The sequence below is a fragment of the Homo sapiens genome, chromosome 16, assembly GCF_000001405.40.
Source record: "Homo sapiens chromosome 16, GRCh38.p14 Primary Assembly".
Classification (NCBI taxonomy): domain Eukaryota; kingdom Metazoa; phylum Chordata; class Mammalia; order Primates; family Hominidae; genus Homo; species Homo sapiens.
Genome location: NC_000016.10, coordinates 70,599,112 through 70,618,130, shown reverse-complemented (window position 1 = coordinate 70,618,130; position 19,019 = coordinate 70,599,112). Strand labels below are relative to the sequence as shown.

Here is a 19,019-nt window from a genome sequence, read left to right as displayed (position 1 = left end):
TCCATTGTGGAAATCTATCCTCAAGGAAATAACTTCTCAGTGTTCCATCTGCTATTCTACTACTCCTCAGGGATTATTCAGGCCCCCTCCCTTCTCTACACATCAAGCTGGAGGATTTGCCCCACCCAGGACTGGCAAATTAGCTTTACTCAACATGCCCTGAGTCAGATAACTAAAATACCTCTTAGTCTAGGTAGATACTTTCACTGGATAGGTAGAGGCCTTTCCTACAGGGTCTGAGAAGGCCACCGCAGTCATTTCTTCCCTTCTGTCAGACATAATTCCTCAGTTTAGCCTTCCCACCTCTATACAGTCTGATAACAGACGAGCCTTTATTAGTCAAATCAGCCAAGCAGTTTTTCAGGCTCTTAGTATTCAGTGAAACCTTTATATCCCTTACGGTCCTCCGTCTTCAAGAAAAGTAGAATGGACTAAAGGTCTTTTAAAAACACACCTCACCAAGCTCAGCCACCAACTTAAAAAGGACTGGACAATACTTTTACCACTTTCCCTTCTCAGAATTCAGGCCTGTCTTCGGAATGCTACAGGGGGTACAGCCCATTTAAGCTCCTGTATAGACGCTCCTTTTTATTAGGCCCCAGTCTCATTCCAGACACCAGACCAACTTAGACTGTGCCCCAAAAAAACTTGTCATCCCTACTATCTTCTGTCTAGTCATACTCCTATTCTCCGTTCTCAACTACTCATACATGCCCTGCTCTTGTTTACACTGCCGGTTTACACAGTTTCTCCAAGCCATCACAGCTGATATCTCCTCGTGCTATCCCCAAACTGCCACTCTTAACTCTTGAAGTAAATAAATAATCTTTGCTGGCAGGACTATACTGAATCTCCTTAGGCACTCTCTAATCAGATGTCCTAGGTCTTCCCAATTCTTAGACCTTTTATACCGGTTTTTCTCCTTCTCTTATTCCATTTAGTTTTTCAATTCATACAAAATCATATCCAGGCCATCACCAATAATTCTACACAACAAATGTTTCTTCTAACAACCCCACAATATCACCCCTTACCACAAAATCTTCCTTCAGCTTAATCTCTCCCACTCTAGGTTCCCACGCCACCCCTAATCCTGCTTGAAGCAACCCTGAGAAACATCGCCCACTCTCTCTCCATACCACCCCCCAAAAATTTTCGCCGCCCCAGGACTTCAACACTATTTTGATTTTTCTTATTAATATAAGGCGGCAGGAATGTCAGGCCTCTGAGCCCAAGCCAAGCCATCGCATCCCCTGTGACTTGCACGTATACATCCAGATGGCCTGAAGTAACTGAAGATCCACAAAAGAAGTAAAAATAGCCTTAACTGATGACATTCCACCATTGTGATTTGTTCCTGCCCCACCTAACTGATCAATGTACTTTGTAATCTCCCCCACCCTTAAGCAGGTTGTTTGTAATTCTCCCCACCCTTGAGAATGTACTGTGTGAGATCCACCCCTGCCCGCAAAACATTGCTCTTAACTTCACCGCCTATCCCAAAACCTATAAGAACTAATGATAATCCAGCACGCTTTGCTGACTCTCTTTTCGGACTCAGCCCGCCTGCACCCAGGTGAAATAAACAGACATGTTGCTCACAAAAAAATAAATAAATAAAATAAGCAAAACAATATGAGTAAGACGGTCATAGAAAAATACATAGGCCTTAAACACATTATAAATTAAAATTTTTTCATAACAAATTTAAATTAAGACTACATTGAGTCACTGTTTTTCACCTATCAGATTGGTAAAAATCCAATGATATAAATCCAATTTAATGTGTTGGCAATGATGCGGGCAAACTAATTTTTCATCCAAAGCTGATGGAAGTGCAAATTGGTATTAACCTTATGGAGTGGAAATTGGCAATATCTCTCAAATCACAAATGCAGATACTTAGCAATGCCGTTTCTGGGAATTTATCCTGCATATACAGTATGCACCTGCAACAGGCCACGTGTATGAGATTTTTCATCTCATCAGCGTCTGTGATAGCAGATGGTATAACCTGCATGTTCACCACACAGTAGTATAGCATGATAGATTCAGTAAAACAAGCAAGACACTGAATGGTGTGTTTTCTATGTTGGAAGCTGTGTTCAGCAGAGGTGGCAAAGCTTTTATCTATAAATATCTGTGGAAGGAGTTTGAGGGGGGACGGATTTTTTTATTGAGACAGGATCTCAATCTGTCACCCACGCTGGAGTGCAGTGGTGCCATCTCAGCTTGCCACAACCTCCACTGCCTGGGCTCAAGAGATCCTCCCACCTCAGTCTTCCGAGTAGCTGAGACCACGGGTGTGCACCACCACACTCAGCTAATTTTTTGTATTTTTGGTAGAGATGGGATTTCACTGTGTTGCCCAGGCTGGTTTCAAACTCCTAAGCTCAAGTGATTTGCCCCACCTCAGACTCCCAAAGTGCTGAGATTACAGGCACGTGCCACTGCGCCTGGCACTTTCATCTACCTATATCTATATCTATATATTTGTATATGCTTGCATTTGCATAAAGTGAACATATTAGAATAATTCACACTAAAGCGTGAAAGATTGGCAACTCAGACACCTTTCAGAGACAGTGTATCTTTATTTTATTTATTTATTTATTTATTTATTTTGAGACGGAGTCTTGCTCTGTTGCCAGGCTGGAGTGCAGTGGCGCAATCTCGGCTTACTGCAACCTCCACCTCCCAGGTTCAAGCAATTCTCCTGCCTCAACCTCCTGAGTAGCTGGGACTACAGGTGAGCACCACCACGCCCAGCTAATTTTTGTACTTTTAGTAGAGACGGGGTTTCACCATGTTAGCCAGAATGGTTTCGATCTCTTGACCTCTTGATCCACCCACCTCGGCCTCCCAAAGTGCTGGGATTACAGGCGTGAGCCACCACACCTGGCCAGTGTATCTTTAAAAGAAGATGTTTGTTAACCCAAATAAGTCTAGAATTCGATGGACTTTTTGTCAGGGTAGTAAAATAAGTTGCAAAAATGCATACACCGTAAGTCCAGAGATTTGGGGGGTAACAGGGGAGCCATAGATCAGGAGTTTCTGTTTTCCTGAGGATCAGCTCTAATTAGATTAGACCCAATAAAATATAAACAGTTACCCGGTGAGGCCGGTTATGGGACAGGAGCAGGAAGAAAACTCTTTGCTATAGTTCTATTTTACATGATGTTGAAACCGTATGAGTTTATTCTCTAATCAAAATACTAAGCAGTAAAACAGAGGAGTTGCAGTTCATCAGCTCCTGAGCCTTGGGCAAGACCTACAAGATCTACCCCAGCTCCTGTTCCAACAGAGCCTCTGTCATTTATAATCAAGGAACAAATATTTACAAGAAGTTTTATCACCTGTAACAGCTCACTGACACTTGCCAGAAATGCTTTATGTGAATATTGCTATTGCAAGACACTGTGAGACACAAAGAGTGTAGGCAATTCACATAACTTCCCTTAAAACCCAGTTATCTCTTAGGCAGAGCAAAGATAAGGACAAACAACATCATGAAATTGCTGTGAAAGGCAAGTGTGTGCACATTTCTGAAAGCAGCACAAAAACAAAACAGGTTCCGTGTTCAGCAGCTGCACCACAGCTAAACCTCGGCTCCCATCACTGTTGAATCTGAGCTTCCATGCTTCTCAAACCTCAGCGGGCTTAAGAACCACCTGGAGAGGCTGTTAAAAAACACAGGCTCCAGGCCCCTCCCTCAGACATACAATTCAGTAGGTCAGGGGCCCATGAACTTGCATTTCCAGCATGCTTTGTCTCTCGGATGACACTGATGGGGTGGTGCAAGGACCACATTTGAGGAGTCTGCTCCAAAGAAGGGTTCCTCAAACTGTGCCATACAGACACATTACCTGGAATCTTGTTAAAATATAGACTCACTCAGAAAGTCTGGGGTAGGGCCTGGGATACTGCACTTCTTTTTTTTTTTTTTTGAGACAGGGTTTTGCTCCATTGCCCAGGCTGGAGTGCAGGGGCATGATCACAGCTCACAACAGCCTCAGACTCCTGGGTTCAAGCAGTCCTCCCACCTCAGCCTCCTGAGTAGCTGGGGCTACAGGCGTGCACCACCACGCCTGGATAATTTTTTTTTTTAAGAGACAAAGCCTTGTTGTATTGCCCAGGCTGGTCTCAAACTCCTGGCCTCAAGCAATCCTCCTGCCTCAGCCTCCCAGAGCACTGGGATTACAGGGGTGAGCCACCGTGCCTGGCTGGACTCTGCATTTCTTTCTTTTTTTTTTTCCTGAGACAGAGTCTCACTCTGTCACCCAGGCTGGAGTACAGTGGCGCAACCTCAGCTCACTGCAACCTCCACCTCCCAGGATCAAGCAATCCTCCTGCCTCAGCTTCCCAAGTAGCTGGGACTACAGGTGCACGCCACCATGCCTGGCTAATTTTTGTATTTTTAGTAGAGATAGGGTTTCACTGTGCTGGCCAGGCTGGTTTTGAGCTCCTGACCTCTGGTGATCCACCCACCGCAGCCTCCCAAAGTGTTGGGATTACAGGTGTGAGCCACCACTCCTGGCTGGACTCTGCATTTCTGACAAGCTCCCAGGTGCTGCAGATACCACTGGTCTGCAGACCACACTTTGAGTACCAAGGTTCCGGAATAGCCAACTCCAGTTGTTTCACAGATGAGGAAACTGCGCCTTGGAAAAGGTAAGTGACTTGCCAAGGGCACTTGTACAGTAAGGGTGGAGACCAGGTGAGGCCCCATCCAGTGTGGCCGCCATGCCTCAGGAAACCGCCCCGCTCCAACCCCATGTCCCCAGTCTACGCTACAAGCCTGCCTGAGCCAAGAAGGGATGCCAGCCCTTCAGAACATGGCATGGAAATTTACTAAATCATGCACAGTCCTTCACTCTCCGGAGAAATAAACCACTTACCAGGGAGATTAGTTCAAACCACCAGCCTCTGCAAAAATACACTTCTCACAAAATTATTTTTTCAGTTGCGTCACCTTCACTTCCAGTGACACCCCTTCGACCGGCCCTGCTGTGGGAACCTGAAGAAGACGACATGCATTTCTCAACAGATGTGGTCTGAGGCCGGGCACAGTGGCTCAGGCCTGTAATCCCAGCACTTTGGGAGGCCAAGGCAGGCAGATCATTTGAGGTCAGGAGTTCGAGACCAGCCTGGCCAACACAGTGAAGCCCCGCCTCTACTAAACATATAAAAATTAGCTGGGCGTGGTGATCCCAGCTACTTGGGAGGCTGAGGCAGGAGAATCGCTTTAACCGGGGAGGCAGAGGTTGCAGTGAGTTGAGATTGTACCACTGGACTCCACCCTGGGCAATAGAGTGAGACTCTGTCTCAAAACAAACAAAAAACATGTGTTCTAATTGGGAGAAGCAGAAATGGGGGTGGGGAAGCTGATCTTGGGGAAGCTGAGGAATCCCTCCTGAGCCCCAAAGGCTCCAGATTTACACTGTGTGCGTTTTTCCAACTCACTTTATACCTGTCAAAAAGTCCCTTCAATTAGAGATTGATGTGGGTTAACAAGCACTTTCTTTTCAGGATGCATTGCTTCTGGGAGGGTTCTGAGCTGACAATCTTTCACACTTTAGTGTGAATCATTCTAATACAGAGGTAAAGGGAGCAGAATTCAGGAAACTAAAGTCTCTGGAGTAATTACGGCAGAGTGGGCCTTACCTGAGATCCAGAGCTTCATCTGGGAGCACAGCCTTGGATGAACCACAGCTTGGGCCTTGGCCTCTGCACCGTATTCCAGCTTGGGCCTTGGCCTCTGCACCATACTCACCATTCACCAGCAGATCCCCCTAGCCCCCAGCCCCCAGCCCCCAGTGCTTTCAGGCTGTGAGTAGTTTGTGGGCCTGGCTCTGCCAATAACTTGCTATGTGACTTGAGGAAATCACACAGCTTTAGAGACTCTTAAAGCTGGAAGGAAAAGCCCCCAGGGGTCAGCTGGTTCCATGATCCCAGAACCCCGATTTCTAGACTACAGAACACACAGCCCCTATCGGCCTGTTGGAGGCTGGCTCTCCTGGAAGCAGAGCCTGAGACAGGCTTTGGGCTTCACATGATTAATGAAGGGAGGGAACCTCAAGACAGAAGGCTATCTTTTATTTTTACACAGGGTCTCACTGTATTGCCCAGGCTGGAGTGCAGAGGTGCAATCATGGCTCACTGCATCCTTGACCTCCTGGGCTCAGGCAATCCTCCAATCTCAAGCAATCCTCCTGCTCCTCCCGAAGAGCTGGGACCACAGGTGTTTGTCACCACATCCAGCTATTTATTTATTTATTTATTTATTTAAGACAGAGTCTTGCTCTGTCACCCAGGCTGCAGTGCAGTGGTGTGATCTCGGCTCACTGCAACCTCTGCCTCTTGGGTTCCAGCGATTCTCCTGTCTCAGCCTCCGGAGTAGCTGGGATTACAGGTGCCTGCCACCATGCCCAGCTAATTTTTGTATTTTTAGTAGAAACGGGGTTTCACCATGTTGGTCAGGCTGGTAACTTTTTTAAATTTTGTGTAGATATGGGGTCTTACCATGTTGCCCCAGGCTAGTCTCAAACCCCTGAGCTCAAGCGATCCACCTGCCTCAGCCTCCCAAAGAGCTGGGATTACAGGTGTGAGCCACTGCACCCAGCCCGAAGGCTGTTTTTAAATAGCACCACAGTGTTGTTCTATTTGAGGCAAAGAGGTCAGGCTTTTGCACCCCTAATTCAGTCAGTGGCCCCCCTGCAGGTGTAGAATGGTATAAACTCCCAGGTATCTCCAGCAAGGTGGCGGGGAGAAGGACACAAATCTGCCGTACCTGGCAGCCCCTCCCCCTTCACAGCAACTAGGAAGTGGATACAAGAGCGAGTTCAGGCAATCTGGGGGCACCAACCCTTCCTTCCAGTTCCAAGAGCCTCTCACATGTGTTTCAAAATACAAAGCCCCTGAGCACAGGAGTTCGAGACCAGCCTGGGCAACATGGAGAAACCCATCTCTACTAAAAACAGAAAAATTAGACAGGCGTGGTGGTGCGCACCTGTAGTCTCGGCTACTCAGGAGGCTGAGGCGGGAGGACTGCCTGAACCAGGGACATGGAGGTTGCAGTGAGCTGAGATTGTGCCAGGCCACTGTGCTCCGGCCTGGGCCACAGAGCAAGACCCTGTCTCAAACAACAACAAAAAGAAGAAAGAAAGAAGAAGCCCCCAAAATCACAAAGGATGGAAGGGGGGGAAAGAACGCAAGCAGTTTTTTCATTTCCAGAAGAATCTTGGAATCTGCCCTCAGAATCAACCCTAACTGCTCTCCGTGGCTTCCCGGCAGGCTTGAGGGGGCCCCTCCTTCCTCCTCACCCTAGCTTCACCCACTGTCCCGCACCGACGGCTACTCCCTGAGGACTTTGCCTTATCTCTTCCTGGAATATTCCACAAGAGATTTCTCCCCAGCTGGTTTCTTCTTGTCAGCTCAAACATCACCTCCGTAGAGATGCCTTCTCTGGCCACCAGGCCACCCCTGTCACTCCCTCTGCGGCACTTTCCACACAGCACTGGCCACTCGACATTATCCTAACTGCATTCAGTTGTGTGTTGTGTGTCGTTCTCCCCACAGGAATGACCACAGGGTCTGGGGACAGAGCCTGGTTCTGGTGTCATCATTGTGTCCTCAGGGCCTGGCACCTGCTTGACACATAGGAAACTCTATAACTTCTGGCAAATCATAGCTGAGTGAATGAACTGGACACATGGGCCAGATGCCAAAATTCCAGCAGAGAAGGAGAACTGGGTCAACTGAACACTCGGCACTCCCAGACGCTGGAGGAAAACAGGCACAAGACTAGGATGGGGATGAAGGAGAGAATCCACCAAGAGTTTTCTTGGCCCTTTGATTCCTCCCTCCTCTCCCAGATCCCTCTCTCAGCTCCTACCTTGGAAAAACGTTCACTTTTTTTTTTTTTTTTCTGAGATAGAGTCTCGCTCTTTCGCCCAGGCTGGAGTGGAGTGGCGCAATCTTGGCTCACTGCAACCTCCACCTCCCAGGTTCAAGTGATTCTCCTGCCTCAGCCTCCAGAGTGGCTGGGATTACAGGCGCCCGCCACCACACCTGGCTAATTTTTGTATTTTTAGTAGAGACGGTTTCGCCGTGTTGGCCAGGCTGGTCTCAAACTCCAGACCTCAGGTGATCCACCTGCCTTGGCCTCCCAAAGTGCTGGGATTACAGGCATGAGCCACCACGTCCAGCCTGACATTCACATTTTAAATGGTGCAAACCTCTCAAAACATCCAGAGGCATCTGGGTTCCAATTCTAGCTATAGATCTGAGTTTCTCTCTCCCCACTGGCACCTGCAAGAGGCACAGTGACCATGCCAGCCTCATGGGGTTGCTGAAAGCACTGGCCTCATGGGTAATATCACTCACTCAGGAACAGGCCTCTGCAAATTGAAACCAAGGCAGGATAAATCCCTACCCCTCAGAGCAGCCATACACCTCCAGGCTGTAGTCCCAGACAGTCTCTGCCTCAGTGCACCTGTCTCTGGGCACCTGTGAGATCCCCTAATATCCCCCAGCATTTCCCAGGTGCCAGGCGCTGTGCCATGCACTTGGTACGCACTTGCTTGTTGCTTGATCTGCACAGTGACATTAATTTATCCTGGAAGCCCCACACCTCCGGGTGTCATCATCTCCATTTTACAAACAGAAGACTAAGGCTGAGAGATTAAAAGCACTGGTCCCAGGACTTAACAGCTTGCGAGCTGTGGCATAAGATTCAAGAATCCCACTTTCAGGCCAAGCGTGGTGGCTCACACCTGTAATCCCAGCACTTTGGGAAGCAGAAGCGGGCAGATCACCTGAGGTCAGGAGTTCAAGACCATCCTGGCCAACATGGCGAAACCCCGTCTCTACTAAATATGCAAAAATTAGGTGGGCGTGGTGGCACACACCTGAAATCCCAGCTACATGGAAGGCTGAGGCAGGGAGAATTGCTTGAACCGGGGAGGCGGAGGTTGCAGTGAGCTGAGATCGCACCACTGCACTTCAGCCTGGGCGACGGAGCAAGATTCCATCTCAAAAAATAATAATAATAAATAAACATAATTTTTAAAAAATAAATAAAAATAAAAAATAAAAGAATTATGCTTTCCTCTCATGTATTTAAGTGGCTTGTCACCATCAGCTCATATCACATGGAAGGAAGGCATGATTACCCCCATTTTACAGAGAAGGGAAGCACAATTGGAACCAGGTCTGAGTGGCAACACCCGCCCCCACACCCCGCCTTCCTCGCTGCCTGAGCTTTCCCTGGGGCCAGCTCTGCTTCCCAGCTTCCCAGATGCAGAGACTGAGGCGTGAGGCTGAGGTGCAAGTCTGCACACTGAACCCATGATGAGCCCCAGGTGCCTCTCCAGGCAAGAGAGAGAGGCAGCAGAGCCTGCCCCACCTGAACCTGCTGTGGGAAGCAGTCGCCTGCACGGCCTTGGCCTAAGGCTCACCTGGGCTGACTCACCTGTGCTGCTCAGAGTTGGCGGCAGAGGCTATAGTGTCTGGAGGTCAGCCCTCTCCCCACCCTTGATCTGTGCCTCCTCCCTCCCTCTACCAGATGACCAGGCCCAAAACTGGGTTTTACTGGGGAACCAGACCCACCATGTGCTGGGGGCACCTAGATCCCTGTATCCTAATCTCCTAATCCCATATGCAATTTCAGGAACGAAAAATTAGTTTAATATTTGAAAATCAAGGCCGGTCGTGGTGGCTCAAGCCATAATCCCAGCACTTTGGGAGGCCAAGGCGGGTGGATCAGCTGAGGTCAGGAGTTCAAGACCAGCCTTGCCAACATGGTGAAACACTGACCCTACTAAAAATACAAAAATTAGCTGGGCATGGTGGTGCATGCCTGTAATCCCAGCTACAAATGAGGCTAAGGCAGGAGAATGGCTTAAACCCGGGAGTCAGAGGTTGCAGTGAGCCGAGAGCACACCACTGCCCTCCAGCCTGGGCAACAGAGCAAGACTCTATCTCAAAAAAAAAAAAAAAAAAAAGAAAAAAGAAAATCAATCATCATAATTCACCATGTTAACAAACTAAAAAAAGAAAAACCGGCCGGGCAAGGTGGCTCACGCCTGTAATCCCAGCACTTTGGGAAGCCGAGGCCGGCAGATCACCTAAGGTCAGGAGTTCGGGACCAGCCTGGCCAACATGGCAAAACCCCGTCTCTACTAAAAATACAAAAATTAGCCAGGCATGGTGACCCTCGCCTGTAATCCCAACAACTAGGGAGGCTGAGGCAGGAGGAAAATTGCTTGAACCCAGGAGGCAGAGGTTACAGTGAGCCGAGATCACGCCACTGCACTCCAGCCTAGGTAACAGAGCAAGACTCTGTCTCAAAAAATTAAAAATTAAAATTAAAAAAAAAAAGAAAAACCACATGGTCATCTCAGTGATGCAGAAAGCCTGTGACAAAATCCAACATTTATCCCCAATAAAAACACTCAGCCAATTATGCAGAGAAGGGAACTTCCTTAACCTGAAAAGGGGCATCTTCGAAAAATTATGGATACACAGTGAAAGACTTAGGCTTGCTCTCCAAGATCAAGATCAAGACAAGACAGTGATGTCCACTCTAATCCCTTCTATTCAGCTTTGTGCTGGAGATTCCAGCCAGTGCAATCAGGCCAGAAAAAGGGGGAGGGATGCATATTGGAAAGGAAGAAGTAAAACTATCTTTATTCCCAGATGATAGGATCATCTATATAGAAAATCCAGCCGGGTGCAGTGGCTCAATGCCTGTACTCCCAGCACTTTGGGAAGCCGAGGAGGGCGGATCACGAGGTCAGGACATCACGACCATCCTGGCTAACACAGTGAAACCCCGTCTCTACTAAAAAAATACAAAAAAATTAGCTGGGTGTGGTGGTGGGCACCTGTAGTCCCGGCTACTCGGGAGGCTGAGGCAGGAGAATAGCGTGAACCCAGGAGGTAGAGCTTGCAGTGAGCAGAGATCGAGCCACTGCACTCCAGCCTGGGCGACTGAGCGAGACTCTGTCTCAAAAAAAGAAAAGAAAAGAAAACAAAATCCTAAGGAATCCATAAAACTGTAAAGCTAGTAAATGAATTCAGCAAGGTTTCAGGACACCAGATCGACATAACAAAAATCAATTGTGTGTCTACAGACTAGCACCAAAAGCTGGAAACAACCTAAATGTCCATCAGCAGATGAATGGGTAAAAAAATTATAGTATGTCCATACAACAGAATACTACTCAGCAATAAAAAGAACTGTCTGGGCACGATGGCTTACACCTGTAACCCCACCACTTTAGGAGGCTGGGGCAGGAGGATCATCTGAGCCTAGGAGTTCAAAAACAGCCTGGGCAACATAGTGAGACCTTGCCTCTACAAAAAATACAAAAATTAGCCCGGCATGGTGGCACATACTTGTGGTTACAGCTACTCAGGAGGCTGAAGTGGAAGGATCAATTAAGCCCAGGAGGTTAAGGCTGCAGTGAGCCATGACTGAGCCACTGCAATCCAGCCTGGACAACAGAACGAGATCTTGTCTCAAAAAAAAAATCTAGAAAATCCAAACGAATCTAAAATGACAGAAGACAGATCAGTGGTTGTTTGGGGGTGGAGGGTGGTGGTTGGTTGAGGGTGGAGAGTCGGCAGGGAGGAACTGCATGAAGGTTTGAGGGAATTTGGGCAGTGATTAATAGGTTCACTATCTTGATTTATGATCTACATATTTATTTATTTTTATTTTTGTTTTTTGAGACAGAGTCTTGCTCTGTTGCCCAGGCTGGAGTGCAGTGGTGCGATCTCAGCTCACTGCAACCTCCACCTCCCAGGTTCAAGTGATTCTCGTGCCTCAGCCTCCCAAGTAGGTGGGACTACAGGCACCCACCACCACGCCTGGCTAATTTTTTGTATTTTTAGTAGAGACGGGGTTTCGCCATGTTGCCCAGGCTGGTCTCGAACTCCCAAGCTCAGGCAATCCATCTGTCTTGGCCTCCCAACGTGCTAGGATTACAGGCGTGAGCCACTGCGCCTGGCCAATATGCATATTTAAAAGTTATCAAGTATGCACTTTTGTGCAGTTTATTGCATGTAAATTTCTTCCTCTAAAACAGGACAAGATAGTGATGTCTGCCATCACTCCTTTTATTCAGCATTGTTAAAAAAAAAAAAAAAAAAAAAAACCAGGTGCGGTGGCTCACGCCTGTAATCCCAGCACTTTGGGATACCGAGGCAGGTGGATCACCTGAGGTCAGGAGGTTGAGACCAGCCTGGCCAACATGATGAAACCCCGTCTCTACTAAAAACACAAAAAATTAGGTGGGCGTGGTGACGGGCACCTGTAATCCCGGCTACTCAGGAGGCTGAGGCAGGAAAATCGCTTGAACCCGGGAGGCAGATGTTGCAGTGAGCCGAGATTGCGCTGCTGCACTCCGGTCTGGGCAACAAGAGTGAAACTCCATGAAAGAAAAAAAAGAAGAGAAGAGAAGAGAGAAGAGGTCTCATTGTAACAAATAATAATAATAAAAGAACTTCAATAAGCTGTTTTCTTAAATTGCTTATAAACTGAGGTATCTAGAAAAGGCTAATTCATAAAGGCAAAAAGCAGCATAGAGGTTACCAGGGCTGGGGAGAAGGGAAGAGGAGTTGTTTAATGGGTAGAGTTTCATTTGGGATGATGAAAAGTTCTGGAACTGGATAGCGATGATGATTACACAACACAGTGAATGCACTGATGTGACTGAATTGTACACTTAAAAATGGCTAAGCTAGTAAGTTTCATGTTTCATGTATGTATTTACCACAATAAAAAGTTATTTAAAAATTTGAATCACATAGAAGTGGACACTTGCATTTGATGAGAAGGAAGAGGGTCCTGGACTCTTCTCAACCTCCTGAGGGGCCTCTTGTCGTCAGAGACTCACAACAGCCTTTCTTCTCATAGGACAGACAGCCTTCCCCTCTCCCAGGTCAAGGCTCTCGGGATCCTTTGCTCCACAGACCCAGGATCTCCAGGGAGTCAGATCTCCACCTCTGCAGTCCCCACCTCTCTCCCTGATGACTGACTGGCCTCAGCCCCTTTGCACCTGCTGTTTCCAATAAGCAAAACACCCTTCTCCCTTCCCCCACCAGCCTAATCCTGGTTCTGAGAGGCCTTGCCTCCTCCCTCACCAGCAGCAGAACCACCCCTGACACACACAGACATGCACACACACAGACATGCACACACACACATGCACACACACATGCATGCACACAAACCCCCAGGCTCTCTGACTTTATCCCTTGAGCCACAGGAGGCTGCCAGCCTCTCCAAGGGGCTACCTTTCTGTGTCCCCAGGCCCTCGGTCCCCGCTCTTCCTTTAGCCTACTGGAAGTATCCTGCACGTCACTTTGTGCCTGGGCCCCAGGCCGGGAGCTCCTTATCGGACTTTGCCTAACTCCTTTCTGTCTCCTGACATTTTAAGTCCAATCTAGACCTGGCACGGCTGATCCACTGCCAGGGATTGGGCTGAACCAGTCCCTCTTTTGACTAACCCAGAAGTGTCCCTAGTGGAGAACAATGGGGAAAATGGAATTCTTGGTGAACAGAGCATCTTTGTTTCAAATGTGTTGGCAGACAGAGGATGGGCTGTGGGGACTTAGGCAGACACCCACAGGCTGCTGGATGCCTGGTTTTGGTTTCCCCTTCCTGACTTGGGACCTAGAGAGCAAATCATTTCCTTACTCCAGGCCTCACTTTACTCATCTGAAAAATGGAACTTGAGAAACTCCTCCTCAAATTCGATGGGGCCAGTGGTGTAGGGGAAATGGGTGTTTGCAGAGGTCCCCACTTGTGAGTACAGTCTTGGGCACACAAGCCCTGTTTGCAAAGGTTTGTTCCCAGGTTTGGCCTCACATTTTTTTATTTTGGGTTCAAGTCTTGCTCTTCAAAGGATGCTGGTGGAGGACATCCCTGCCCCTCCCAGGGCCTGGCTTACAGGCTTTGCTATTCTGGTTCATGGTTGGATTTGCTGTTATATCTTCCAAAGCGATGGGCAACTGTAATTAAATAATCAATCATTCATTCATAGTTTCACATATTTCTCCTTCACTGGAACAGCAGCCCCACTGAATTCCAGGCACCTCAGAGCTTCACTGCACTAATTAAAGCAATTAATGCAGGCAGGCACAGTCAAGGGCTGGCAAATCTTCTCTGCTAACATGTATCAACCAGGGAAAAAATTGTGGTATGTCCATACGATGGAATCTCCTCAGCAATAGAAAGAATCAGGCAGGTGCAGTGGTGCACACCTGCAATCACAGCCCTTTGGGAGGCTGAAGCAGGAGGACTGCTTGAGCCCAGGAGTTCAAGACCAGCCTGGGCAACATGATGAGAACCCGTCTCTACAGAAAAAATTTAAAAATTATCTGGGCACAGTGGTGCACACCTGTGTGTACTCCCAGTTGTTCAGGAGGCTGAGGTGGGAGAATCATCATCTGAGCCCAGGACATTGAGGCTACAGTGAGCCAAGATCATGCCACTGTATTCCAGCCTGGGTGACAGAGTGAGACCCTGACACTAAAAAATAAATAGGCCGGGCACGGTGACTCACACCTGTAACCCTAGCACTCTGGGAGGCTGAGGCGGGTGGATCACCTGAGGTCAGGAGTTCGAGACCAGCCTGACCAACGTGAGAAACCCCATCTCTACTAAAAATACAAAATTTACTGGGCGTGGTGGCCCATGGCTGTAGTCCCAGCTACTCAGGAGGCTGAGGCAGGAGAATCGCTTGAATCCGAGAGGTGGAGGTTGCGGTGAGCCGAGATCGCACCACTGCACTCTAGCCTGGGCAACAAGAGCGAAACTCCATTTCAAAAAAATAATAACAAATAAAAAATAAATAAATGGTATATTTATTATGTTGTATCTAAATTTGAACATGTTTTATAGTGTTTCTCTCCAAACTATCTAATCTTCCATCTGGCTGAGAAGAACTGTCTCTTACATTTCCTTGTTTTTGCATTGATTTTTTTGTCTTTTTTTTCTCCAGTGGAACTACAGCGCAGATGTCAGTCACGGGGCCCAGCTCCCTGGTGGCCACATAGGAGATGCTCACGGAAAAACTAATAGAATGAGAGAAAAACAGCCGGGGCTCCCACTCAGGGCTGGGGTTGGCGGGCCACAGAGATGGTGCTACCTCATTTCAGGGATGTTTGGGGGCCGTGAAACATGGACTCATGCTGGCGGTGGCCCCCAGGACAAAGCTAAGGCTACCTCCGCTGGAATAGAATAACTACAGGGAAAAAGATAAGAATAATAACAATAATAAAATCTGCTGGGCATGGTGCACACCTAGTGTCCTAGCCACATGGGAGACTGAAGCAGGAGGATCCCTTGAGCTCAGGAGTTCAAGATCAGCCTGGGCAACATAAGGAAATCTCATCTCTAAAAATTAAATAATTAGTTAATTAATAGTTAATGTTAGTCACTTTATGTCATTTAATCCTCCCTCCCTACTATGGCTACCACCCCTCGCCCAACACAAACACACACACACACACACACACACACACACACACACACACATCAATTCCAAAGCTAGGAATTCTCACTCTCATTTTAATTTATTTTATTTTTGAGGCAGGGTCTGGCTCTGTTGCCCAGGCCTGAGTGCAGTGGCATGATCGTGGCTCACTGCAGCCTCAACCTCCAGGGCTCAAGTGATCTTTCCACCTCAGCCTCCTGAGTAGCTGGGACCACAGGCATGAGCCACTGTTCCCGGCTCACCCTCATTTTAAAGATAAGGAAACCAAAGCTCAGAAAGTTTGGCAACTTTTCTTAAAGCCACGCAGCTGGCAAGTTGGGGAGCAAGTATGAAATCTAGATTGCTCTTGCTGTCACTCTACATCCCAGCAATGGTTTGAAAGCAAAGGAAGAGACCACATTCCCCCAGCCCAGCAATTCTGTGCAGCTCAAAAGCCTGATTGTGAGGCCAAAGGAGCCTGGCCTCCACGGCTCACTGCAACCATGAGGATCTGGCACTGGAGCAGGGAGACCTGAGTCCTGCAACTTCAGAGTCTCAACACAGGAGCTGCATGCCCTACCTTGAGCTTGTCAGGGCAGTCCACTCCAGCTGTAGCCCAGAGCTGCTGGGCCTGGAGAGGAGCAATTCAACTTCACCATGGATGGGTTTGCCATCTTTACCTCCTCAAAAGCTGGAAAGTGTGTGGCCCTTGCCCTTCGGTCTCCCTGAAGCCCTCTCTGTCTGGGCTCGGGCTGGGACTGGCAGCTCAGTGTCCTTGTCTCCGGCCAGGCAGCCAACTGGACAAAGGCATCCTTGGCTCTGCCAGGGCCATGAGAAGGCCCCTCCCAGGTAAGGGAAGATAGCCTTTCATTCCCTCTGTCCCCATCCCACCTGGGGCTGCTGGGAAACCCAGCAGGAGCTGGCTTCTGATTAAAAAGGGATTGGGGCCAGATGGCAGTGGCTCATGCCTATAATCTCAGTACTTGGGGAGGCCAAGACAGGCAAATCACTTGAGGTCAGGAGTTCAAGACCAGCCTGGGCAACATGGCAAAACCCCGTCTCTACTAAACATACAAAAAAATAGCCGGGCAGGGTGGTACCAGCTATTCATGAGGCTGAGGTGGGAGAATTGTTTGAGCCCAGGAGGCAGAGGTTGTACTGAGCTGAGATTGTGCCACTGAACTCCAGCCTGGGCAACAGAGCAAGACTTTGTCTCAAAAAAAGAAAAAGAAGGAATCAGGCTAGGCTTGGTGGGGCACACCTGTAATCCCAGCACTTTGGAAGGCCGAGGTGGGAGGATCCCTTGAGGCCAGGAGTTCAAGAACAGCCTGTGAAACATAGCAAGACCCTGTCTCTACAATTTTTTTTTATTATTTTTAAATAAATAAATAAAGAGTCAGTCTCTGAGGCAGCACATGCACAGAGGACAGGAGAATGGAGAGGAGGAATGCTGAATCCATGCAGAGTGATTCAGAAACTCTGGGCCCAGTAGGGCACCCTCACCTCCTTTCCCAGCACTCCCCCACTTCTCTCAGCATTCCTTATCTCTCCCAGTATTCTCCATCTCTGTCAGTATCCCTCACTTCTCCCAGCATCCCCTACTTCTCCCCTCATCCCCTACTTCTCCCAGCATCTCCCACGTCTCTTAGCATCCCCTACTTCTCCCAGCATCCCCTACTTCTCCCAGCATCCCCTACTCCTCCCAGCAGCCCTGCTTCTGCCAGCATCTTCTCATTTCTCCCAGCATCTCCTACTTCTCCCAGCATCCCCTACTTCTCCTAGCATCCCCTCATTTCTCCCGCATCCCCTGCTTCTCCTAGCATCTCCTCATTTCTCCCAGCATCCCCATCTCTCCCAGCATTCCCTGTTTCTCCCAAATACTTTTTTCCACGTCCAAGCCAGAAACAGCTACCAACATATTGTCATATCAACCAGTTACACCTCATTTCGTCAAGCCTAATGCACGACTGATTGTAAAATGCACATTATTTTATGCACCATTGAGAAAGATGTGGGGAAACTGCCAATTAAATTATGATACACCATTGATCCTAATTTCAGAGGGGATGCTAAGATAGGGGGAAGTTAGAATTAGTAGAATGTGGTAAGACTAAGAGCCCCACTGTGCATTTCATGTCTTGCTTGGGGCTTACAGAATAGTTCCATGTGCAGCGCTGTGTTCTGTCAATGTTTGGTAAGCAGGTGCCATGTGCCTAGCACCATCCTAGACATGGGATTCAGTTCTCTGCCTTTATGGAAATCATAGGGTAGTTGATGATCTTCAAGGCCAATCCAGAGAACATCTACAAAACAGTTCAAGGCTAATCTCTGTGGTGTGGACAATAAATGAAAGAGGTGATTGGAGAAGGGATGGATTAGAGTTGACCAAGGTGGTCAAGCAGGCTTTGTGGCAGGGGGTAGAGAGGGGTAGAGACTTACACTAGAGGCTGAAGGGTGGAAAATAGGAACGAGAGAAGACATGTGAAGAGAGAAGTGGGGATAAAGTGAACAAAGAATGGAGATGAAGCTCACATAGCAGACACTCAGGACATCAAGGAGAAAGTTGGGTTTGTCTGGGACAGAGAAGCCGTGTCAGGGTGTCAGGGGACTCTACATTGGACAGCCAGGACAAGGCCAGACTACAGAGGGACTTGGAAGCCAAGCAGGGTCAGGTGCCATGACTCATACCTGTAATCCCAGCACTTTGAGAAGCCGAGGTGGGAGCATCACTTGAGCCCAGGAACTTGAGACCAGCCTGGGCAACATAGGGAGACCCCATCTCTACAAAATTAAAAATTAAAAACCTGGCCAGGTGTAGTAGTGTGTGCTTATGGTTCTAGCTTCTTGGGAGGCTAAAGTAGGAGGATTGCTTGGGGCCAGGAGGTCGAAGCTTCAGTAAGCTGTGATCACACCACTATACTCTATCCTGGGCGACAAAGCAAGACCCTGTCTCCAAAAAAAAAAAAAAAGACCGGGTGCAGTGGTTCATTCCTGTAATCCCAGCACACTTTGGACTGCCGAGGCGGGCGATCACCTGAAGGTCAGGAGTTCGAGACCTGAGACCAACCTGGCCAACATGGCGAAACCCCGTCTCTACTAAAAAAAAAAAAAAAATACAAAAATTAACTGGGCGTGTTGGCACACGCCTGTAGTCACAGCTACTTTGGAGGATGAGGCAGGAGAATCGCTTGAACCCGGGAGGCAAAGGTTGCAGTGAGCCTAGATCTCACCATGAGAATTTGTTAAAGAAAGAAAGAGAGAGAGAAAGAAGAAAGAAAGAAAGAGAAAGAGAGAAAGAAAGAGAGAAAGAAAGAGAGAAAGAAAGAAAAGAAAGAAAGAAGGAAAGAAAGAAGAAAGAAAGAAAGAAAGAAAGAAAGAAACAGTTCTTGACATAACAGGTATAAGACAAAGTAATAAACCTAAGAAGGCCTATTTGCTCATTTCTGCTTGCCAGCAGAATTTCACAAAGCCCCTTGGCTCTCTGACAACGTGCGGCTCTCCAGAAAGATGCTTGAAGACAAAACAGGATAGAGC

The 19,019-nt window shown here is 48.1% G+C and overlaps 1 protein-coding gene across 8 annotated transcripts in view; it reads right to left on the bottom strand.

Moving 5' to 3' along the window:
- The window catches only part of IL34 (interleukin 34), an 80,784-nt gene that overhangs the window by 42,552 nt on the left and 19,213 nt on the right, over nt 1-19,019 (bottom strand). The window contains exon 2 of one of the 8 annotated variants that reach the window (XM_047433648.1): nt 4,899-5,017. The exons of the other annotated variants lie outside the window; for them this stretch is intronic. The gene's annotated coding sequence lies outside the window, so the exon portion shown is untranslated. The remainder of the gene's footprint in view (nt 1-4,898; nt 5,018-19,019) is intronic. 8 annotated transcript variants of the gene reach the window in all.